Source organism: Homo sapiens, chromosome 2 (genome assembly GCF_000001405.40).
Source record: "Homo sapiens chromosome 2, GRCh38.p14 Primary Assembly".
NCBI classification, from domain to species: domain Eukaryota; kingdom Metazoa; phylum Chordata; class Mammalia; order Primates; family Hominidae; genus Homo; species Homo sapiens.
The window spans coordinates 72,127,647-72,150,923 of NC_000002.12; the positions used below are offsets into that span (position 1 = coordinate 72,127,647).

The following is a 23,277-nucleotide window of genomic DNA, read 5'->3' on the forward strand; positions in this document are numbered from 1 at the left end:
CTGGGCCCATGGGGGAGAGGCAAGGACAGCCTAAGTGATGACAGGGCCAGCCGCCTGCCCAGCTGGGCCCGCCTACCCTGAGCAGGGTGGTCAGGCCGAGGGCAGCCCAGGGACCATGCTTTCATTGCCTCTGCTGCCACACGGGACACTCCACCAGGAGGGATGGAATTTACTCTCTGGAAAACAACCGCCTTTCCTGGCACGACTCCCTGCGGAAGCTGGGGCTTTTCACTGCTTCTCAGGACCCTGGGGGCCTCTGTCCGAGGGAGCCCCTTGGAGTGGGCATGTGCGGGTGGGGCAGGCCACCAGTACTACCTTCTGCTTTTTGTGACTTAAGGGAAGTCCCCCTGCCCCTTTCCCCACCCTGGGAAGAGTGGAGGACTGGGGCAGCGTCACAGTGCGGAGGAGAGGTGAGGCAGAACAGACGCCAGAGCAGGTGAGCTGGGGTTAGGGTTGCCGAGCGTTCTGCTCTGGTGACGTTGCTTCAATGCTGGGTCCTTCTCTTCTGGGTGGCCAGGCTCCGAGACCTAGGCAGAGCGAGGCCCTACACCCCAGGGTGTGCCTGGGCCAGCGTGCTCTGAGCTGAGGTTGGGTCTGACTGACTGTATGGAAAAGAAACGCTGCAGCCGCAAAAAGGCTCTTCTCAGGTCAGCTCAGGGGTGGGCCTTCCCCCTCAGGCTATGGGGATGGGACCCGGGCGGGGCAGAGGCTGGGGCCAGCCTGGTCACGCTGCAGCCTTTCCCGGTTCCCAGTGTGCAGCTCCAGGGGCCGAAGCTCTGTCTCTCATTGCCCTCCCTCCCCACCCACAGCCCCTCAATCCCGGGAACCACCTGGGGTTTTCTCAGCACTGAAAGTCGTGCCCATCACGGGTCCTCGCCTCAGGCCTCTGTGACAGTCAGGCTGTGGATCTTTCCATGAAATGTGATCATCGGCGAAAGAGGACAGGGTTTCAGTCCTCAAATAGGCCTGGAGAATGCTGCAGCCTGTGTTCACCCCACACTCTACTGCCCCTGAGGCTACACATCCTGGGGCTCAGGGTTCTGACAAGGCCTGCAGAAGGGGAACCGGGATGACTGTGTTTAACCCATTTCCCAAACTCATTTGATCATGGAATCTATCTGATCCCACAACACCCATGAAACAGGCTTTGAGAAGTGCTGGCATGGGACGCGAGCCCAGACGTCAGAAGAACTGAATTCTGCTCCCTAATTTGCCACGTGACTGTGAACATCAGTGTCCTCACTCAAGTTAACAAGACAGGCTCAGAGCTCTCGGTCCCCCTGTCCAGCCTCGAAACACCTGGCACAGCCAGCCACAGCCACACTCGGAGCATCCTCCCAGCTGCCCCTCCCCCAATAGGCTGACCGGTTCTCTCTCTCCCTCCCCAGGGAACCTCCTCCTCCCAGGACTCTGTCACAGACCTCTGTGCCCGCATGCAAGGAATGGCGAACTGGCCTCACGGGACGGTCTTAGGGAAGAGCTTCCTAACTGACAAGGTGGATGGGCACTGCTGATGTGAACACAGGTAGCCGGGGAGGACTCTTTCAGTAAGGCTGGGAAGGCAGAGAGCAGAGACGCAACGGAGACAAGGGCGGGTCCCCACGGTTTATTCTAGAAGCCTATAGAAGAGCCACATTGAGTATTTCCAAAATCACAAAATGCACAACATTCATGTTTTTAATATGCAACATGGAATATTATATACAGATTAAAACCACGACAGCAAAAACACTCACACGGTACCAGTTTCATATCAAAACAAAACACACAAGTGCTTTTTCAATATTAAAACGACTGTGATAAAAACATATTAATATTTTGAACCATGTTTACAATAGAGCAAAATTCATATTTTACTAAATAACAAATATTTAACAGCAAAAACTTTATACTAAATATCTATTTTGAATTATAACAAAAATAGTACTTATAATAGTTTATAAAGACAGACACAAAATTATAACATTTATGAAAAAAAAGGTTTGTGTATAAAATAATATTATAGCCATCTGGGCAGGGTCACGGTGGTGCCCAGAACACAAACGCCAGCGCCCAACATCGAAAGTGCTTCAATCTGCAAGCCCGTGGCAGGAAGAGTTTTGTGGGGTTTTGTCTTTTTAAGGTCAAGTTGCAATAGTTAGGGATGATAAGTAAGAAACATCACCCATCTAATGCTAGCTGTATGAAACACACACGCACACGCACAGACACGGGCATCTCACTAGAGAGCTGAAAGGAGGGACCAATTACAACACAGGGATCCTGTCAGCCAGCCAGAGCTTTCTTCAGCTCTCTTCTCACTGCCTTTGAGACCCAGCGGGGCAAATGATCCTTCTTTCCTCCCTCACAGGGACCCCCCTCAGCTTTTCCTTCTCTGCCCCCTACCAGGCTGGCCACCCCCAGGGAAGGCCCCTGAGACCTCCCAGCCCCATGCCCCCTGCCCCTCACCTGGACCAGACCCAGTGGGCTTGTCTGAAGTTCCACTTACTGCTCTCCTAGATACTCAGTCAAAAACAATTGGTTCAGGGCCAGCTGGATCAGTTTAAAGGAAAATGAACCTCCCAGACACTGGTTTTGTGTTGGGGGGAGGGGGTACAGGTCCGGGTGCACCATGTAGCTATGTTGCAAGCTTTGACAAGTCTTTACCCATTCTGGCCTGTTTTTCAGGATTAGGGATGAGCAATTTTGCCAATAATGTCTATTCCACACTGTTTTTTAGTAGTGGAAAAGTAGGAAATAAATGAAACATCTGAGACTCAGGGATTGGAGAGCAGTCTGTGTGGTATGGGCCCGTTCCTATAGTCTATCTTCAGGGTGGCTGTGAGTGGGGTCAGGGTCGGTCTGTGGGGCTGCCTACGGGATCTGGTCTGAGGGAGCCACTGAGGTGCTCACAGCAGCGATCGGGGACTGGCATGTCCTTCATTCTTCTGTGTTTTCGATTTTCTTGTAAAGGGGATTCATTGCTTTTACAACATCAAAAACCAATAAACACAGAAAGCAAGGAAAAATCTAGAGACTCACCAAACGCCCGGAAACCTTCCCCAGGAGGCATCCCAAATTGCCAACACTCAAAACGCCAGTGGCAGGAGCTACTCCTCTTTCACCCAGTCATCCCGACTGGCCAGTTTTCAACCCAATCCCCCTGACAAACCGCACGTAGCCGCCTCTTCAGCTTCAGCTGCGGCAGCCTTCCCGCAGCTGTCCGGAGACCACACAGGGCCCTGCAATCAGCTCCGAGGCAGAACTGCCGCTGCGCTCACCTCCCCCACGCTTTCGCCTCTTCCCCACCCCTGAGCTGGGCTAAGCAGACAGTGGCATAGAGGTGGAAGGGACTTCAAGGACACCTTTTTCAGGGCGGAGGGCAAAGGGGGAGAGTTAAGGAAGGGAAGACGGAGGCCCTTGCTCCCCGTCAGAAGAACCCGTATCCTTCCCCATACTCACGCCTGGAGTCAGGGCCAGTGCACTGGGGTGAACAGGGGCCAAACAGGAAATCGTGGCCGCCTCCAAATCTACCTGATCAGGGTTTTTGACAGGAGAGGGAGGAGGCAATGGGCCACATTCCATCTCCACCAGGGATAAGGCAGAGGCACCGGACTTCAGTCCAGGAGTGAGGCTCCGAGATTAAACCCAAATAATGCCCGGAGCCGGGGAAGGCTTTCAACCCTAGGCCCTGGGGGCTGGGTTTGACCAGAGACCCCTTCCTCTTCACTCACAGAAGTCTCGCCAGGACAGCTAGAACACAGGCTAGGGCATGAAGGGGAGGAGATGTTCACTCCAGACCCCAGCATCCCCAAGATTCTCTATCAGTGAATAAATATGGGGGCGGGCAGCACATGAGCCGCGGGCCTTAGGCGGCTGTGTGTAACAGGGCCTGGTTCAGCAGGGGATGGGAAGGTGGGGGTGTCAGTGCACCTGCCCAGGGCCACCAGGGAGGATGCTGGGGAGACAGGGCCTGGGGCTCCTTTGCCCCAAGGTCAGAGGACAGAACAAGTAGCAGCAATAGGTAATTTCAAATTGTCCAAACTGGTGAGGGAGGGTGGGAACCGTGGCATAGGGAAGGGCAATCTCCAGGTTGGACGCAGCCCCCGCCCCGCCAAGGTTGACTCCTGTTCTGCTACCCAGGATGCTGTTCCTGGGCAGACGCAGTGGGGGCGCAGGAGGAGGAGACGCTGAAGAGTGCGCCCAAGGGGGCACGGCTCTTCCCGTCCCCCAACCCCAGCTAAAAGGGTCCGAAAGGAACGGAGGGAAGGGAGCAGTTCAGAACATCACAAAAACACTGTAGCACGCGCTGACACCTAACACTGTCACGGGCATGCAGAGCCCCTGCCACGCCCTTCCCAGGGGCTGAGCTGATGGTAAATGGGGAGTGGCTGGAGGGAAGCTGGAGCCAGAAGGGGAGCCCAGCCCTAGGAATGGGGCCCACTGGCTTTGGGTAGGGTTTGCCAGGGAGGGGGAGCAAGGGAGGGCAAGTATGGGGGCCACTCGCCCTCCCCGTTCCGGCCCCCTCCCACACACAGGTTTCTACCTCCCACAACCACCACCCCGCTGCCTGGGCTGGGCTGAGGCGGGTGGGTCTTGGGTTAGACTGTGGCGCTCAGCATGGCCTCCGTCTCCGGCAGGATCTCGTTCTGGTTGGAGTCCAGGCCAAAGAACTTGACGCTGAGGCCATCCACGGGGTGCAGGACGGGGACCAAGGTGATGCGGGGGAAGGTCCGTGTGGCCAGCTCAAAGCGGCTGGTGCTAGCCAGCTCCACCGCCAGCACCTTCAGGAACAGCTTGGCCAGGTGCTTGCCCAGGCAGGTCCGGACACCGCCACCGAACGGGAGGTAATGGAAGCGGCCATCCTTGTCCTCGCTCCGCGCCTGGCTGAAGCGATCGGGGTCGAACACGTTCACGTCTTTGAACACGGGCGCTGTGTCATGGGTGTCCCGGATGCTATACATGACACTCCAGCCTTTGGGGATCTGGAAACCCTGGAGCAAGATGGGGGCCGAGGAGTGGGTGGTGAGAGCCAGAGGAGCCCACAGAGGGCCCAGGACTGCCCCCTCCCTGCTCAGCCCCAGATGTTCAAGACCTGCCTTTTCTTAGAGACACCCCACTGTGGCCCCCAAGGCCTGGCCAGCCTGCCCCATTCAGCATGTTAGTCCAAGCCCTTATCTGTAGATGTGCACATGTGACTTCACATATGACACCCAACTTGGCTTCACCTGATGCATTTGGGGCGCACTTCTCCCATCGGACTGAAAGCTCCCTGAAAGCAAGCACTGTTTCCCCATCAGGCCTGAAGTCCCTGAAATGGAGGCTGGTGCCCCGCCTTGCCCCTATCCCGGTGCCCCTGCTCCCCCATCGCCCCCGGTGCCACGGGCCCAGCCTCACATCAAGCTCGAAGGTCTGCAGCACAGTGCGGTAGCCGCCGGAAATGGGCGTGAACAGGCGCATGACCTCCTTGATGACGCAGTCCAGGTAGCGCAGCCCACTGAGCGTGTCCAGGCGCAGTGTGCCCTCGCAGGGGCAGCCGCCACTGTGCAGGATGCCATGAGCCCGCAGCTCATCCCGCAGCTTCTCCAGCACAGTGGGGTGCTTCAGCAGCTGCATGATGAGTGAGGTGCTGGCGCTGGCCGTGGTGGCATAGGCCGCAAAGATCAGCTCCAGGGTCCCGTCCTGCAGGGCACAGAGGAGAGGTGTTGTTGGAGGTGTGGGTTCAGCCAGGCAGGGGCCGCCCCATTCAGTCAGTGGCCCGTGTGCCCAGGTCATCTGTGCTGGGCCCTGCCTGGTTCCTGCAGTGAATTCTGCTTCCTCTGAGCTTCATGTTGCCGGGGCATTAGTGTCACGATGGACACGGGGGTCACAGCCAGTCCCTAGCTGGGCAGAAGACACAACTGCTGTGACCGAGGGCAGAAGCACTGGCCTAGAGTCCCTTGGAGTGGAGCCACTTCTCACTCACTGCTGGGTTCCTGGGCCAGCCCCACAGGCCTGATATGCAGTGGGCTCACAGGAGAAAAAGAACAAATCCCAAGGAGCCAGGCCCTGCGCAGCAGGTGTGCGTGTGTATGTGTGGGGGATGTGAGTCTAAACCCGGGCCTTCCCACTCCCAGTGCCAGCCCCTTCCTCCATCGCAGGAGGAGGACATTCAGTGGGTGATCAGGGGAGCCAATGGGGTCTGGGAGGGAGCCTGGGGCCACTCCCCTGGAGACCTGGGATGAGGCTGAGGGAAGGCGACCCCCAGAGGACCTAAAGACCCCGCCAGGGCTTTCTGGGGAGCAGGACACCAGGGCCATGGGTTCCCCACAGAAAGGCCCCAGCAGGCTATCTCATAGCACACCCTGCATTTTACAAATGTGGACTCTGGGCCCAGAGAGGGCAATGAAGGGACCTGGGTCCATTACTGGCCATGGCAACATCCATAAATCACAAAGCTTCTTGTAGTGGAAAAGCCACTCCAGCTCTTCCTAGCTCCCCAGGAAAGAAGTTGGAGCTAGAATATGGGGAGGCAAAGATAGTGGGCAGGGGAGGCTGCAGTGAGTGTCCATGGGCACCCAGCAGTGGAGCAGGCCTGCAGAGCCCAGGTGGGGATGGGCGAGTGAGCCCTCCTCGGGTGAAACATCCGCCTAAAGCAGGGCAAGCAGGTCCTGCGTGGAGCACAGCCGGGATCCCCAGGGGCCTAGGGGGCGGGGGGGAGGGTGGGAGGGCATGCAAGGCGCCAGCAACCTGAAAAGGCTGGGGGTGGGGGAGGATACCTCACATCCAAATCTCCCCTGCTCTTCCCCAAGGGCTGAGGCTGGTGACAAGCAAGTGGTTTCCCCTTGTGGGCCTGCCTTTCCCTAGATGGCCTTCCAGGGATATTGGGACTAGGAAATGAACTGAGATCATTCCCAGGCCTGAGCTCCCTGCAGGCCATGGGGAGAGAAGGGAGGGTGCCCCACGGCATCCTGCACAGCAGGGGTGGGGACACAGACTTCGCTTCCAGTTTCAAGGTCTCCAGCCACTGCTCAGAAAGCATGTGTGGGGCCAGACTACAGGGGGTAGAAATGGCTGGGCACATTTCCACCCAGGGAAAGCTCAGAATGGAGCCTGGGTGCTGGTGCTGCCCGTGAGGGGCACACGCCCACCCCACCTTCAGCTCCTGCATGGTCATCTCCTTCCCGTGCTCCTTGCTGCTCTCAATGAGGAGGTCCAGGGCGTCCAAGTAGTCCTTGCCCTGTGTGCACTGCAGCTTCTCCCGGATGGCCTTCTCCAGCCCCTTCTGCAGGATCTGCCGAGCCTGAATGCCCTGCAGAGGTGAGGGCTGTCACTCATATGGAAGGGCAGGCTCCCATCTGAGCCTCGGGACCACCAGGGACGACTCCAGCCTCCTCCTACCCCACGCTGACACCTCTCCCCTTTGTCCATGTGCCCTGTGCCTAGGTGCCCATCTCAGGGGTCAGGTCAGCCACCCACCCCCAGAGAGGGGGCTCATGGATGCCCCTGCTCCTCTCCTCCCAGGCCCTGGGTGCTCACCCGCCGGTAGCCACTGAAGGGCAGGTCGACAGGCAGGGAGAAGACATTGTCCACAAACTGCTGGTAGACCTCAAAGAGGTGCCCAAGGTCCTCCTCAGGGATGCTGAAGCCCAGCAGCACCCGGATGGCCATGCGGAAGGTCAGCTTCTGCGCCTCCTGGTACACGTTGATGGCCTCGGGGTGGCTGCTCCAGGCGCGCAGTGTGTCCTGGATCACCAGCTGGATCTTGGGCAGGTAACTCTCCAGGGCCTCGTGGCTGAAGATCTTGGAGAAGACCTGGAAGGCAGAGAGGCAAGTGGGTGAGCCGATTGGCACAGCCCACCCCTGGCCAGCCCCTCACTCTGCCTGAACAATGAATGTGACTGGAGAGAACTTCAGCTTCCACACAACAGCAAAGCCTTGGGAGCTGGGCAGGCCAGCTGCCAGCAAGTCTTTGGGGGATGTGGCTTGTGAGGGGCATAAGTGGGGGCTGGGCAGGGCCAGAGCAGGGCGGCTGCCCTTCCATTGCAGAAGCCCATTTCGGAATCCCGGGACACAGGACGGAAGTGCCCTGGAGAAGTGGAGCACAGTCGTTGGACTGTACAGGGAAGTAGGGGAAGGCCATCGAGGGAAAGCTACTCCATGGGGTACAGCAAGAGAGCCTGAGACTAGACCTCAAGCAGGACTTCCTGGGAACCAAAATTGTCATTACTTGCTGGAAAACACCTACTGGGTGCAGATTCTAGTAAGTTTATTAACAGCTGTGCCATGAAAAGGTCTTCAGTGTGGCCAGGTCCAAAAGCAGGGGGAGATGGGGGCAATGGCTTTCCACCCCTAAAGATCATAAAGACAAACAGAAGCCCTGTGACTTCCCTGCATCTTCCAGGGCCACTGTACGCAGCCAGTGAGTCCTGTTTCCACCTCCTTGTCCTCCGTCCTCCCGGCTGGCTGCGCAGCCCCCCTTGCCACCCTCCTCACCCAGGACTCCCCCGCACAGGTTTTCATGTGTGGAGGAGAGGGGAGCACGTTAGTTTATTTACCAAAAGCCTGTGGGTCTCGCTCATAAGCAGCAACGTCCATCCCACCAGAGTTCAGATGAGAAGGGGGAGCACCCCTGCTACCAGCACCAAGCAAAGGCTGGGAGGGGAGGGACAGTGCAGAAGAGGGAGCCCCCCACTCCACCCCATGCAAACCACACACACGCGCCGCCCTCCCCTACTGCCCCCCCAAACACAACCACCGCATAAACTGTAAATGTGAGAATTTCCCCTGCAGTCAGCTCGGGGAGGAAAGGTAACATTTTCCTGGCCTAGGCCCTGCATGGCTAATGGGAGGGCTGGTTTGCAGAAATAACAGTGCTGGCCCTTCAGTGGCCCAGCCAGGCATTCACAATAGCACTTTCATTCCGAAATTCCCGGTGGAGGGAAGGAGGGAGGGCAGGAGGCCGGCGAGGGGCAGAGAGGCCTGTACTGTTTGGGGCCGCTCCTGCTACAAAGGGACAGCTGAGAGGTAGAAGGACGATAGGAGGTCGCCTGGGTCAGCCCAAGCCCAGATGGGTCATTCACACCTTGCCCAGTTTTGGGGGTCCGAGGGAATTTCCAGGGGACTCTAACTACTGCCTCCCTTCAGAGAGTGATGGATAAAGGCAATGCTTGTTTGCTTCAACCCCCAACCCTCATGTCCTTAGGATTCCAGGTTCAGCCCTTGGGCAAATGAAGGGTCTTGGGGGAATGAGAGGGGGCACTTCTTCTAGAGACCAGCGCTGGCCAATGAAGGGCCCCTTACAGATAGCAGAGAGCCACTGGGTGGGCAGAGAGTAGCACACAGGAGGGAAAAGTGCATCAGGAAACAAGACAGGGGCAGGAAAATCACTCTGCGGCTACCAGGCCTCCATGGCGGGACAGGGATGCCAGAGGTGGGACAGGGAGGGCCAGAAAGGTCATACCTGGCCCAGAAACAGCCAGCCCAGGACCTACTAGGGGTTCTGTCACGAAGAGTGCAGGGTAGGGGCTGGCCAGGGCCCCCAGCACATGGCAGACCTGGTCCTCCTGCCTCTCACCCGGTGCCCTGGAGGCCACGCCCACCAGGCCCAGCCAAAGTCGAAGCTGGTGGGCTCTATGATGCAGTGGGGTGACAGGAAAGGGGCTGAGTTGTAACTGTGCATCATCCAGCAACTTACAGTGTGATCATGGCCAAGTGGCTATCTGCTCCCCCAAGCCTCAGTTTCCTCATCTGTAAAACAGTGAGGTGGAACCAGATGGCCTCCCTTCAATCCACTGAGCACCTAAACACCAGCACCCACCTGCCCCTAAGCAGATGCTATCCCTTCAAAGCTGCCCAGAACTTGGCAATGCTCGAATCCCCTGGGGAGTGCCTTCCAGCCCCTACTCACACACCCCACGTGGGCCATAGTGGCCAGGAGGGGCCATCCCAGGGTTTCAAAAGGGGGAGCACGCAGGGCCCCCACCTCACCCACAGACAAGCCCTGCCCTGCCCTGCCCCGTGGGTTCCATTTCCTGCGCCCTCTAGCGATGGCTGGTTGAACTGCTCCTTCCCAGGCCTTGGGGGCCCTAGAGGGCAGGCAGGAGCAGTCTAGGAAGAGAGAAGGGCCCCGGGGGACCTGGGACTGGACTGAGAGAAGGACTCCAAGGGCAGGGGTCCACACCTGACCCCTGGGGGGAAGGGGTCCATGGGCAAGGCCAGGAGCTAGAATAAGCCGGAAAAGCCACTGCCACCCAGCACCTGCAGGCCCCTGAGGCTGGGGCTTCTAAAAGGAAAGTGAAGGCAGGACCAGGACACTGTCTTGGCCGGCGTCTGACTTGCTGAGTGACAGCCAGCAGGCTGCTGCCCCTCCTGGAGCTGTTTCCCCGCTGGGTTCATGAGAGGCCCGACTGGCCATTCTGAGGGCCTTTCTGCCAGGCTGTCCGTGACGCTCCTCAGAGCCCACCGTGAGATGGAGAAACCGCCCAAATGAGAAGGCCAGCAAAGATGGGTGGAGGGCACACTGGCCCCAAGGGGCTGGGCTCAGAGGTCACCAGGTCCATGCCCCTGCCTCTTGCCCAGCTGCTCCACAGACATAGGGGCCTCCCAGGCCCTGGGAAGCCTCCAGAGCCTCATCCCTGGGTCTGTGCCCGGGGGGTAACAACACAGGCACTTCCCAAAGCCGGGGCAGCTCTGAAACCACCGCCCACCACAAAGGATGGGCGGAGGCAGAGGCGCAGGCTGGGGCAGAGGGCGGCCAGGGCGGCGTCAGGGCGGGCTGGGTCTGAGGCCATCACCTGCTGGGGTCAGGACTCGGGCACACTGGGAAGGTGCCGGGGAGCGGCTCCCTGTGAAGAGAGGAAGGGTTCCTGGCCCGGAGCTACTTCCCTGACCACAGGCATCGCAGGAGCCACGACTGCTTTGTTTCCTTCTGGGGCTTCCCTCGGAATTCCCAAAAGTCAGCCAAGAATGCTGGACAAAGGTCACTGGGAGCCAGCCCAGGCTCAGGCCAAGCCCTGCAGAGGGAGTGGCAGGTATGGACTCCCCACCACGGCTGGTGCCAGGGGAGAGCAAGGGCACTGTCACAGGAGCCCAGGAGCGCATGTCCAGGTTTACCTGCTGCAGCCCCAGAGGCTCAGGCAGGAGGGAGGAGGGCACTCGCCTTAAGGGATGGCCTTGGGCAACTCCCCTGCCAAGCCCCCAAGGACACAATAGGCTCATGAGTCTACACCCTTGGTTCTCTCCCTCCCTCCAGAGTGGGAGCTGATCCCACAAGGGTCTAGGGGTACCGCCAGGGGCTCGTGAAGGCTCAGATTCCCTATCATTGTTTCTACAAAAGCATTCTCCCCAACCAGGCCTCCTCACCCCTCCTGCCTCTCACCCCGTGCCCTGGGAGGGGAGTTGCTCTGTGAACCCCATGGCCCTGCGTGCTGCGCTTGCTCAGCCAGATAGCCTCCCCCTTCTCTGCTGGCAGGTGTGGACAGATGGACATATGGATGGGCAGTAGGAGCGGGTAGAGCCGGAGTGGGGACCCACTGCCCAGGCCAGTGACTCAGACTGGGAGGAATGGAAGCGGCTGCCCAGGAGGGGTGGGGGCCTGGGCAGGCCACCCGGCCAAGCCACCGGAGCCTCGGCCTGCAGAGTGGAAAGAATAACAGAGGGCAGGCAGCCGCTGAGGCAGCCGTCCGCACAGGGGTGACGCCAAGGTGTGTACTTTATATTCAAGCAAGGGGGGTAAGAGAGGACGTCATCTTCCCAGCTGCCTGGCTGCCTCAGCTTCACCCTGGCCCAGTGGAAATGCCAGGCAGCTTCACCCAGAACTGGAAATGTCCAATCTGGGTGTGTGGGGCTGGGTACACTCAGCCCCTCTGGTTGCGAGGAGGCTGGCCCAGACCCCCAACAGGCTCCAGCGGTTGGAGCAAAGCGCCTGCCTGCGATTTGACTCCAGCTGTGATCATCTCACCTGGAGACATGCTCCCCACTGCCCTAACTCTTCCACACATACCTACAGCACAAGGTGGGCAAGACAGGGAGGGGCGGGCAGCACTTGGCAGACACTTGCCGAGCCACAGTATCTGAGATTTGCTTGGCCACTCTTACCTCTGCTGCTTCCAGCCACCACAAACCCGCCTTAGAAAGCTGTGGATGGGTAGGGGCCCTCCCAAGGTCACAGTCCAGAGCGTGGCTGGCCACACCCACCAGAAGTCCTGAACTCCCTGCCTCCCACCACCCCAGACTCCATAGAGCTGCCCTCTGCCAGCCCTGATGGGCTCTGAATTTATCAAAGGGTCCTGAAGGGGATCGTCCTCTACGGTGAAGTCCACTCTGAGGGTGAGGCCAGCTGTCCCCGCCACTCTGGTGTGGTCCCGGCATGTCTCAGGGTCCTGCAGCTGCTTCCTTTTAGGCTTAGGGAACCCAGGACAGATACAGCAGCCAGCATGGGGGGCCCAGGGCCAGGGCAGACCCCACCGAGCCTTCCCACTCCCTGCCAAGGCCACCTTCATCTTCCAAGGCTGGGAGAGTGAGCAAACACATCAGCACCACAGCCTTGGACCCCTCCCTGCCTTGGGAGAAGGACACAGAAAGGAGGGACAGACGGAAGGGCTGGCCCCTGAATCCAGGCCGCCCACCCTCCCGCTGCCTGGCACAAGGGCATGCAGAGGGAGGTGCCCACTCCCAGGCACCCTGGCAGCTGACCGTGGGCTCCCTCCCCCACTGACCTTCAGATAGATCCGCTCCTGCTACCCGCCCCCCTCAGCAGCCCCTGTGCCCACCCGCTGGTGCTACAGTAACTTTTGGGTGAAGGACTTGTGTTGGCAGAACAAAGGCGTTGTGCCTATGCCAAGGGGCTGGGGCAGAGCTCCCAGCAGCAGAGCTGCCTGGCTGTGCCACTGGCCTTTCATCCAACGCAGGTTGGACCTTCTGCCCTGAGCTGAGCCTGGTGGACATGACTGTGTAGCCAGAGGCTGTGCCTTGGTCCAAATGCCTCCTAGAGCCAAGTGTGGGCTAGCCTTCCCCGGGACCCCACAACCGTGGGTCCTCCTGACACCGTCCTCCTGCTGAGGCACCTCCTCGCTTCTCCATCCCAACACAGACCCCAGGAGCACAGGGTTTCCAAGATGGGGCCAAAGGTCAGGGATGGTGGGTGGACAGGCAGGGTTTCTTGACCTCTACCTCCAAAGCCTAGTCCCCCACCTTGGCTTCAGGCCCAGAAGGTCCTGTAGGCAGGGGTCTGGGTAGAAGGGGCAAGACTACCATTCCTGAGGTCTCCCCAGTCCAAGGCTAAGTCCCTCCCTTGAAATACTCTCCAGGTTCCCTGAGGGTATCTCCAGGCCACTGTCTGGGGTGCCCTGAGCTGCTGGCCTCTTGGTGCACTGAGGTCCAGTCCTATCTCCAAAGGAAAATAGGAGAGGCCCAATCCTGGTGGGTAGAGCTGGGCACAGGAAGCTTCTAGAACCATTCTCTAGCTCCTTCTCCATGTTTTGGACAACTGTCTCACCCCCACCTTCCTAACCAGACTCCATCTGCCCTTCTACGGCAATACTCCAGCCTCTCTACACACAAAGAGGGATGGGGTCCCTCCCCCATCCATCAGATACACCCCAGGCCCTGGGCAGGGGAAGGGTAACCCAGGAGGAGGGAGGGAGTCTGAGGCCCTGGCTGCAAGGACACAGGCCTGGCTTCCAGAGATGATTCTGTTAGACTGGGCAAGACTTTCTGGACTTTTTCCCTGGCAACCCCACCCCTGCTGGCCCAGGACCACCAGGGCAGCCAGGGCAAACACCTGGAGTGCAGTGACGGCAGTGAGAAGCCCCCTCCAACACATCTGGTCAGACCTCCCAGAGGTGGGGTGGGCCACCAGCCCCAATGGAAACAGTGACGCTCCAGTTCCCCACCAGCCAGGCCCCAGCACACCTGGGCCCCACTTCCTGCACGTACCTCCTAACCAGGCCAGTCCTGGCCCAGCAGCCCACACTGCAGCCAGGCCTCTAACTGCAGCATGGACCGGATAAAGAGGTGTGCATGGCACACAGCAGCCCCCACCTTGGCCACAGTGAGTTCACCGGGCCTTGGGTTCAGCAGATGAGCCATTCTCTCCAGGACAATCATGGATATTTAGAAACAGTGGCCCTGAGTGTTCTAGTCTCCAGCTAGATTCTACCTACCTAGTTCCAGGACTTTCATGGAGTTCAGTAAACTGAAATCATCAGTTAGGGAGATTTGGGGGGAAGGATCCTTTCATCTGGCTGACTACCCATTTCTCATTCGACCCTCCCCACCAACATGCCCCACGTGGCAAGCATAAAACTGCTACACACAAAGAGGGGGCCCTGCATTTGGCTCTCAGGCCTCTGGCAGGATGAACCAGCTTCTGGTGACTCCCCACCCACCCCCAGGGAGCTAAAAGACCGGCTGTTCTGAATAGGGAGCCATCGCGCCTCAGCCAAGGCTCTCAGTTTCTGCCCCGACCCCAACCCCAGCATCCCCCCTTCCCCCCACCGCATTCCTGAGGCGGGTCATCTGCACCCTCCCTTCCTTCTCCCTCCCCTCTAAATGGACAATGTAGGCCAAAAAACCTTGGGGTTTTCCAGGCAAGCCCTTCCCAGCCAACACCGGGAGGCCCGAGGCCAAGTCAGGCCCAGGGTGGGTGGAACCCCAAGACAACGCCCTCACCCCAAAGCCCTCTGCACCCCAGGGTCTCACACTCTGGTCCTGGCCACACCTCCTTCCTCCTAGCACTCACTGTCCACCCCAGCTTCCAGCAGCCCCAGGCATGCAGGACAGAAGAGGACTCTCCTCCGGGGCCCAGAGACTATTCCCACGGACGCTGCAGTCCAGTGTTGCAGGCTCTCCCCGAAATTTTCTTTGTCTCCTGACCTGGTTCAAGTCTCATTCAACCGCTCTACGCCTCAGTGGCCCCTTCCATGAAAAGGGGACAATAATACCCCTCTGGCCAAAGCCTCTGTAAAGCAGAGATCAGGAAGCAGCCATCTCTTTTGGAGCCGAGTCTCCACTCTCCTCGCTCTTTGGAATGGGCCTCTGGTGGAGTCGCAAAGGCTGAGGGAAAAATAAGTGCCCGCAACTTTGAAAAGCCGAGGCTTCATTCTGAAGCCTACAGCCCCTTCCAGCCACTCCCCAGAACTCCTCTCCCGCCGCCCCCAGGCTGTGGTAACTGCTTCCAGCTAGGAGTGGGGCAGATGGAAGAGAGGACTTTGGGAGCCCCTTTCCAGTTCCTGAAATACATGCTGTATAAGGGAACGGGGGTGGGGGCAGGGATGCAACCCAGTCTCCTCGGTTTGACCGCTCCTTCTTTTGTCTGCCGTTAAGAATTACCCTTCACAGGCTGTTCAGAGAACGTCAAGTGCTACAGGATGCGTCGGCTAGTAGAGCGCTCCCCACCTTCGCCAAGACCACAGCACATGCGGCCCCTGACGGAGGGAGTCCGCCTCCCCACCTCCCCGGTCTGCCACCGCTCAGGGACGGGGGGCTGCCTCTCCCTTTCCTTAGGTTTCAAACCTGGGTGAGTCCTCTGACCCAGTGGAAAAAAATGGAGTGGGAGAGGTCGCGCAGCCTCCCTCCCGGCGGCTTAGGGCCCGCCCGCTGGCTCCGCTTTCGGGTTACTGCAGTTCAAACAGCACGTGCCGCCAGCGCTGGGAGCCTAGCGCAGCCGGGAGGGGCGGGGGCCTGTCCCGTGCGCGCCTCCTCCGCGCCTCCTCCAGTCGCTCGGGAAATCCAAGGGATAAACACCCACTTTCCCTTCCTCTTTCGGGGGGGGGTGGGTGCGCTTTGATCCCCGCTCGTGCCTCGCCTGCTCTCCCCCCGCCCGCCCTTCCCCCACGGCCCAGACCCGTGCGCTCCGCTGCCCAGGCTCGCCGCACCTCTCTGACCAGGCCCCGCCACCGCAGCCCACAAGCTGTCCCCAACCTCCACGCGCAGCCGCCTGCCCGCGACTCCCTTCAAGCAGCCTGTGGTGGGAAGGACAGCTTTGATTTTAGAATGATCGGTCTCCAGTCCTCGGAATTCCCTGGGAAACGTGGCGAAAAGGCGAACGCCGGCCAACTGTCCCGCCCCCTTCTTTTTCCAGCTCTGTGGAGCAAGGCAAGGACAGGCTTTGGACACCCCAGACCCCGCACGCTCAAGCTCTTCCAAGCCACCGTTGGGGGTGCCCATGACGCAGTCGGCCAGCAAGAAAAGGGACCAAGAGGAGGCCGGAGCAGGCCCTGGATCCGGACTCGAGGCCTTGTCGGCGGGGAACTGCGGAGTCTTCAAGCATGGTGTGCAAAGGGGGGCACAGATTCGGTAGGGGACATTCCCCGGGCTCCAGGAACTCCTTGCCCCGAGGTGGGGGAGGGATTGCGCGGAAGAAAACGGGCAGAGTTCTTACCTTGCGCTTGTTGCGGTGGATGTCGCCAATGGAATTGGACACCGTGTTGGGGCCCAGCAACATGCGGGTGCTGCGAGGCCACTCGGTGCTCACGAGGTGGTGCTCGCCCATGAGGATCTTGCGCACGTTCTCCGCGCCGGTCACGCGTATCAGCGGCCGCCCCAACAAATGCGTCTTGAACACGTTGCCATACTTCTCCCTCCGCGACGACTGGAAGCCAGAACCCTGCGGGAGCCACACCCGGGTCTCTCTCAGGGTGCACTTCTGCAGAGGGCCCGCGAGGGAGGGGCGGCGGACCCCAACCCGGGGTACAGTCACCTGCCCCCTCTCCCCACCAAACACACTCACACAGACGAGCACGCAGGTTTTATTTTTCATAGCGTGCACAAGAACTGCGAAGTAGGGCCTAGAGGATAATAAATAATGCAAGGAGGCGGAGGCCCAGGGGCACCCCCAGGAGGCTGTTTTTTGGTAATGACTTTCGAGAGGAAAGAGGTATCCCGGACAGCTGGACCCGAAGCGGGAGTCTCCGCCCCCACCCCCACCCCCACACCCCCACCCCGCGCTCGGGAGCCTCTCGGAATAAATATTTCCAGGCTCCGGGCCACGGGCTGGCGAGACCCCGCGGGGTGGCCGCAGGCCAAAGATTATTTATAGCGGTAAGCGGTCGGTGCCCGGAGGCAGCAACTACAGATGGGGGTTGGAGTTTCCTCCGCTCTCCGGTGTGGCCCGCGCAGGGACCCGGCGGCCCTCGGAGGACTCTGCAGGGCGGGGTCACGGGCCCAGAGCCGCGATTTTCCTAATGCATTTTGCCCTGGAAATAACGGAGACGGACTTTGGTTGCCGCCCTGGAGTTTGGAACCCGAGCGCGGGGCGGGGCGGGACCGGGCAGGGCGACCCGCGCAGGTAACCAGATCCCCGGTGGTGGCGGCGCAAGCCGAGGATGGCGGGGCCGGGGCCGGCCGGACTCTCGAAACGGCTGGCGGAGCCGGCCGGGCGCGGGTACCGGAAACCGTGGAGACCTCAGAGGGGCGGGGGCAAGGGCGTCCCGCTCACCTTTGACGTCGGCACTAGTTACCCCACCCCACGTTAACCCTTCTCCTGCCGGGGCAGCACCCGGCGCAAAGGGGAGGGGCGCCACCTGTCTAGCCGCCCCGCCTGCCAGCCCACGAGCGTACCGACTCGGGCTCCAGATCTACCCGCTCCTGCACCCCCGAGGGGACAACTCAGTCCCCCTAGCCCGGGTTGGTCCCCCTCCTCACTTTCCTTTTTTCCACAGAAAACTACTTCCAGCTAAATGTGCACACACGCCAGTACAGCCGAAAAGTGACTCTGCAGAACCCGGAGCCCTAATCACTTTTCCACATGCGCCTCCGGCCCGGCGCGCGACGGGGAACGAGCTGGGAGCGCCCGCGCAGCCAGGAGGGGGGCTGGGCCGCGGGAACGCTGTCCCCCTCCCAGGCTGGAAGGCGGGGATAATTCCCCCTGCCGTGCAGCCCTTCTAGACGGCGTCTACCCCTTTAAGAAAAATCTAGGCGGAGGTGGGGTGCGACAGAAGGGGTGGTGAGGCGAGGGTTTCCCTCCCTCCGTCTGCTATACCCGTCTCCCTCGCTCCGTCTCACTCTCCGTCTTTCCTCTCCTTCTTTTCCTCTGTTTTTCTTTTCTTTCAACACAAAAGTTGGGTTGTGAATTTTCCGAGGTCGCCGCCGCCTCGCCCCCACCCCCCGCCTCTGATCTGCCTAACTATAATTAAAGTGCGTTTTTTGTGGCATTAATAAAGAGTTATTTGTCCGCCGTTTCCACGGTCTTCACAAAGAGTACTTTCATAGGGGCGGCCGCTCGGGCCGCGAGTCCAATTTATACAAAAATGTTGTATTTTTAGCCCTGGGCTCTGTTTAGATGGCGCTCGGTGGAAACGGAGAGCCCTTGGAGGTCCCCCCGTAAAATCTGATAAATGACTCCGAAAAAATAACGCTGGGATTCAGAGGGCTCTCATTAACCCCTTAGGCGCTCCTGTACACGTACCCCCTATTTCCCTCCTCACCTCCAGATCTAGGGCCCCGGGTTGGAGGGATGGGGAGGCTTAGGTTTCCTCCTCCCTAACTTCTGTGCAGGTTGGACGCTGACCCCCAGGGGCTCTTGTGGGATTCGGAGAAAAGGTCATGGGGACCTGAGGGGGGGCAGAGAGGTCAGGAAACGAAGTGGGGGTGGGTGGTGACAGACCGTGGATTCAGCAGACTGGCTCTAAAAGGCGGGAGCCGTTGCCCAAGTTATTTTATTTCCTAAATTCGCGGCCCAAAGCCTAGAGCACCGCTGCAGTTGACACTTTAAGTGTGGTGGCGAGGGAAAGGCTCTGGGGATTTCTTTGCGGGGGGTGGGGGGGTGATACATCCATTGGTTGAAAGGACCCCCACCTCATTGCACGAACAACCCCAAAAAGAGATGGGCCTAATCCGGGACGTGGAAAGACCACAGGGCAGAGGAACTTCGAACCCCCTCCCCGCCCCCGCTCCGCTGTCACTCGTCCCGGGGCAGGGTGAGTGCGTGTGTGCGCGAGCGCGCGGATTGCACGCGTCTGTTAATTTCAAGCCAAGCTTTCGCACCTGTAAACCCACAGGTCGCAGCGCTCACCTTTCGCTTCACCTCTCTAGTGCGGGGATTGTCAGTTTCAGGACATCCCTGCTTCCCCTAACAGAACAAACGCGCGTACACACAAATACACCTCCCGCAGTTACTGCAGAGGCGCTCCGCTCCCCCACCCCAAGAAGAAAACCGGTGTGTATCACATTGCAAAAGCGATTGTCTGGCACTTGATGAGGTGAACTCCAGGTTAATCTCCCCATTACCTACCTGGGTCTGGTCCCTGACGCGCCTCACCCCCGTTATCACCAGCAGAGTGGGGTTGTGCGGCATCTAACAAGCACACACGCACTCTCTCTCTATGGATCCCACACTCACCTCTCCCAAGTTTCCCTCTCCTGCCAAACTGTCCCCACCCAATAAGTAAATAGACCCTTTTCCCCGAAAGCCTAGAGCCCTGGATTCTCATTTTTCCTTGGGTTACCTTCTTCCTCTTCCACCACAAAACAGACACACTCGCGCGGACCGCGGACCAGGGACACTGTACCTGGCGCTGCCGACGGCGCCGCAGGAACACAGTTTTAAATCGGCAATTCAAGCTGCCACCAGCCCCCTCCTCTCCCGACTCAATTTTCGGCTCCCAGCGACACAGCCAACCCCAGAAAGCCGAGGGCGACTGGGGGCTTGCAGCACCGAGGGGAGGCGAAAGCGGCTCAGGACCGGACCCTCCCCCGGGACCGCGCCTCGCTAGGCGCCCCCGGGGCGCTCCACGCCCCCTGCCAGGCCAGCCGCGACCCAGGCAAGTCCATCTTGGGAGCCCCCTCAGGTCCGGGAACCCCTCTTACCAGCCCCCTGAACCTGCGCCGCGGGCGCCAGTGGTCCCGGAACCGCGCTGCCGGCGGGCTGGGGAAGCCCGGGCTGCTGCGGCAGAGAGGAGGGAAGGGGCGGGGCGGGGACCAGTGCCTTCAGGCTCCCGGCGCCCCCTGGCCGGCCCGCCGCTCCGTCTGCCCCGCGCTCGCAGCTAGCGGACCCCGGAGTGCAGCGGAGCGAGCGCGCCCTTACCTGCAGCAGCCAGTGGCCGGTCTCTCCGATGAGCGGGAAGCCCATGGATCCCTTGGGGATGGGCAGCTTGCAGCTCTTGTCGCGAGTGGCGGCCCAGCGCAGCTGCCACAGCTGCTGCGACACGGCCAGCAGCAGCGTCACGGACACCAGGCACGCGGCGAGGGTGGCCAGCGCCGACACCAGATCCAAGCCCTCAAAGAGCATGTTGGCGGCCGCTCGGGGGATTGGCTGTGCCGGCCGCGGCGGGGGAGGGGAGGGCCCGACGGGAGGGGACCGGAGCGGCGGGGGAGGGGAGGCTGCGGCCGGGGGTCCTGGCACCTCCAGCCGAAACAGAGAAGGAGGAAGGGGCCAAGGGAAAGGGAGTGGAGGCTGCGAGGGGAGCGGAGAGAGGGAGGAAAAAAATTGCCTAAAAGAAGAGAGGAAACACGAGGCGACTGGGGTGCAACTTTGTTTGTTTGTTTGTTTGTTTGTTCCTTTATAGCGGGCTTAGGGGCTGCTCAAGGGGTGGTGAGATGAAGCCGTGAGTCAAGCTGGTGGGTTTGCTCTCCCCGCTACCATCACACTCGGAAAACTTTGGAAAACTTTGTCCAGAGGGAGCCTCTCTCTCGTAAGCCCCTTCCCCTGCTCGGAAAAAAAGAAGGGGGCAGAGAGCTAGCAGAGAGAAAGTGCGGTCGATTTGTCAAAAGTATTGCAGTATGGCCCCAAAATTCCTAGGTGAAAAAAAGAAAAAAAGAAAAAATTCCTGAATCCAAAAATTCCAACGAACCCAGAAACTTTGGGGGCGAGGGAGAAAGCTCCCTGGCTGAGGCGAGTGGAGAGGCCGGAGCCTAAAAGTCCCTGGGCTGCCCGGGGCGGCGCGCTCGAGCCCCAGAGCCGCCGCAGCACCCCCGAGGCAGGAGCGGCGGGCGAGGCGGCGAGGCGGGCGCTGCGGCCCGAGCGCGGGTGCGGAGCCGGCGGGCCGCGGCCGGGACGGGACGCAGCCGGCGACAGAGCCCCGGGCGGGCGATGGGGCGGCGGCGGCGGCGGCGGCGGCGGCGGCGGCGGCAGCGGGCGGGAGGGGTGAGGCGGGGTGGGGTTGGGGGAGGAGGTGGAAAACCCGAGCTGGGCTATTGTATCAATTAAGAAAAGGCAGTCCGTCCCGGGACGCGGTCTCTCGGCTCTGGAGTTGCTGCTGGGGGAAGAAATGGGGAAAAAAGAAAGGAAGGCAAAAGGAATGAAAGAGGGGGAAAAGCAGGAGGCAGGATTTCAGGGCTGGTGGTTTTAAAAGCTTCTCTCAATGTGAATTTGAGTCCAAAGCGAGGCGATGCGTGTGTTTATATAGAGGCGGGAGGCTGCGCCGTGGGCGCCCCGCCAGCACCCCCCCGCCCCAACCCGCGCGCTCACAAAGCCGGAGGCGTGGTGAGAGGCCGGGCCCGCGGCCGGAGCTGGAGAGCGCAGCCCGGCCTCCCGCCCCGCCCCGGCCGCCCGCCGCCCGCCGCCCGCAGCCCGCCCGGGACCCACTTGTAGCCGCCGCAGGATCAAACTCAGTTCACCTCTCGCCTCCTCTTCTTTCTCGCCGGCGTCTCGCTGAGCCCAGCGCCTACAGACGGACGAGATGAGACACACGCGCGCGCACCTACGCGCACACACACACAACACACACGCGCACACACACAACACACACACCTCCGCACACACGGTGCGCACTCGCTTAGTGCCTGCTTGGCTTCTAGGCTCCTTCCCTTCCTCTTTTCCTCCTTCCCAGGTCAGCGGTCCCCTCCTCCAGCTCCGAGCAGTCCCTCCTGGGCCGAAGCCCCGGCAGCGGAGGTCCTGGCCGGACTGCCCCCTCGACTGGCAGGCGCCCAAAGCCCTCGAAACTGTGCCTTAGGGTCCCGAGCTTCCAACCCCCGGGATCCCGCTGGCTCTTATCTCCAGGGACCCCTGAGTTACCAGTCCCAATCCCCCTAAGCCAGATCCCCCATTCCCGATCCCTATATCCTCACACCTCCGATGCTAAGGTCCGCCCCCGCCATATGTCTCTTACCCTACGGAACCTGGAGGTTCTCCTGTCCCCGTCAGCGTCCCAGGCTGCTGACTCTGCAGCCCCTCCTTTCCTGCACATTGGGACCCCCCTCCCCTGCTTTTGTAGTCCCCCTCCACCGCCCGCAGCGTCGGGGAACCCCGATACTGGTCCGGCAAGTGTCCTGCGCGGGGACAAACGCGGCGGCCCCGGTACCCAGAGGCGGGAGAAGACGGGCACAAACGTTCATTGATACAAATGAGTAAATAAACATGCTGGGTGAGCACGGCCACCTTCTCAGCGCTGGCAGCAGAGGGCCCGGCGCGCGTGCCTGTGTACGGTGTGCGTGTGGCCCGGGGCCGCACCTGTGTGTTCGCGCGCGTGGCCTTGCGTCGGCCCGACGTCTGAGGAGCGACGTGGTATGTCTGTGGGTTTGTGTATTCTTTGTAGAGCCATGAGTGTGTCTGCGCATCCGTGCATCTGTCATCTGGCCTCTCCTCCTGCGAGCCTGTGTTAACATGGAGCTGCGTACAGCAACCCCGACATTGGTCTAGCTAATGTCTGCCCCTCTCTCTCCCGTGCATCCTGCTTCCCTCAGCCCCCCTTGGCTCTGGCGTTCACTCTCACACTCCCGGAGCCAGAGTCGATATCCCATCTTTAGTTTAGAGTAGTGTGTGTGTCAACGATACTAGACTCCGCTTTTAACACCTTGCCTGCACCCAGTACGAGTTCTGCTTTAGAGTTCACGAGACGAGAATGTGTGTGAGCGTCTAAGGTGCGCACAGATGTGTTGTCCCTCCCTGTGTGAGCGCTTCCGAGGCTGGTGTGGCAGGAGATCTAAACGCTGGTCTAGCTCCTAGCGCTGGGTCACCTCGGCTTCACTCTCTGCCCTGGAACCCCACCTGGTGGGCAGTTATAGTACTACAGATTCGGGGAAACAATTCCCTCTGCTCCCTTTCCGCACTCGCCCTTCATAGTGGGAGATCAGCTCCAAAGGGCCGGGTTGTAGGCTCCCAAAGCACCCCGCTCCTGTGTCAGTGACCTCAGACGTCCACCCCAGGATGCTTGGGGCCGGACACTTACGAAGGCCCTGTCAGGATCACTGTGGTCCTGAAACAGGGGGCTAGGAAGCACCCTCGAAGCAGGGTGGTTTCACAAAACAGTCACATCTGAACAGGGCACGTCAAAGTGCCAGAGCCACCCCACACCCTATCTGAGGATGAGGCTAACATAAAATGGGGTTGGGGGAGATTGTTAAGGTCTTGCTGGCTTGAAGAGCTCTAAGAATCTAGCC

At 60.1% G+C, this 23,277-nt stretch overlaps 1 protein-coding gene across 6 annotated transcripts, besides 5 other annotated features; it reads right to left on the reverse strand.

Moving 5' to 3' along the window:
• Nucleotides 290-1,069: an enhancer, noted in NCBI's record as "H3K4me1 hESC enhancer chr2:72355065-72355844 (GRCh37/hg19 assembly coordinates)". NCBI's record gives its function as "activates a minimal SCP1, AML or CMV promoter by ChIP-STARR-seq in primed H9 embryonic stem cells {active_cell/tissue: H9 hESC(primed)}" and the evidence as "EXISTENCE:reporter gene assay evidence [ECO:0000049][PMID:30033119]".
• On the reverse strand, nucleotides 1,592-20,216 carry CYP26B1 (cytochrome P450 family 26 subfamily B member 1). Of its 6 annotated transcripts, none has more exons than NM_019885.4 (6): nucleotides 19,985-20,216; nucleotides 16,343-16,567; nucleotides 7,498-7,773; nucleotides 7,115-7,270; nucleotides 5,377-5,661; nucleotides 1,592-4,973 (listed from the first exon to the last, which is right to left on the reverse strand). In NM_019885.4, exons 1-6 carry the CDS (start codon nucleotides 20,186-20,188, stop codon nucleotides 4,581-4,583), a joined length of 1,539 nt encoding a protein of 512 aa, NP_063938.1. In that variant the 5' UTR covers nucleotides 20,189-20,216; the 3' UTR covers nucleotides 1,592-4,580. The 6 variants fall into 6 exon arrangements, with proteins under 6 accessions (NP_063938.1, XP_047301075.1, XP_005264490.1 ...); XM_047445119.1 differs by lacking the exon at nucleotides 19,985-20,216 and adding an exon at nucleotides 17,178-17,358; XM_005264433.5 differs by lacking the exon at nucleotides 19,985-20,216 and adding an exon at nucleotides 16,691-17,358.
• Nucleotides 8,180-9,143: an enhancer, noted in NCBI's record as "H3K4me1 hESC enhancer chr2:72362955-72363918 (GRCh37/hg19 assembly coordinates)". NCBI's record gives its function as "activates a minimal SCP1, AML or CMV promoter by ChIP-STARR-seq in primed H9 embryonic stem cells {active_cell/tissue: H9 hESC(primed)}" and the evidence as "EXISTENCE:reporter gene assay evidence [ECO:0000049][PMID:30033119]".
• Nucleotides 11,072-12,035: an enhancer, noted in NCBI's record as "H3K27ac-H3K4me1 hESC enhancer chr2:72365847-72366810 (GRCh37/hg19 assembly coordinates)". NCBI's record gives its function as "activates a minimal SCP1, AML or CMV promoter by ChIP-STARR-seq in primed H9 embryonic stem cells {active_cell/tissue: H9 hESC(primed)}" and the evidence as "EXISTENCE:reporter gene assay evidence [ECO:0000049][PMID:30033119]".
• Nucleotides 18,892-19,414: an enhancer, noted in NCBI's record as "H3K4me1 hESC enhancer chr2:72373667-72374189 (GRCh37/hg19 assembly coordinates)". NCBI's record gives its function as "activates a minimal SCP1, AML or CMV promoter by ChIP-STARR-seq in primed H9 embryonic stem cells {active_cell/tissue: H9 hESC(primed)}" and the evidence as "EXISTENCE:reporter gene assay evidence [ECO:0000049][PMID:30033119]".
• Nucleotides 19,604-20,105: an enhancer, noted in NCBI's record as "H3K4me1 hESC enhancer chr2:72374379-72374880 (GRCh37/hg19 assembly coordinates)". NCBI's record gives its function as "activates a minimal SCP1, AML or CMV promoter by ChIP-STARR-seq in primed H9 embryonic stem cells {active_cell/tissue: H9 hESC(primed)}" and the evidence as "EXISTENCE:reporter gene assay evidence [ECO:0000049][PMID:30033119]".

What these genes read in the sequence shown, in the direction of transcription:
- CYP26B1 (NM_019885.4), bottom strand. Translation starts at nt 20,188, where the DNA reads ATGCTCTTTGAGGGCTTGGATCTGGTGTCGGCGCTGGCCACCCTCGCC. An exon ending in TCCACCGCAACAAGCGCAAG is followed by an intron (nt 7,774 to 16,342) that starts GTAAGAACTCTG and finishes TCTGCCTTCCAG; the next exon opens with GTCTTCTCCAAGATCTTCAG. An exon ending in CCTTCAGTGGCTACCGGCGG is followed by an intron (nt 7,271 to 7,497) that starts GTGAGCACCCAG and finishes TCACCTCTGCAG; the next exon opens with GGCATTCAGGCTCGGCAGAT.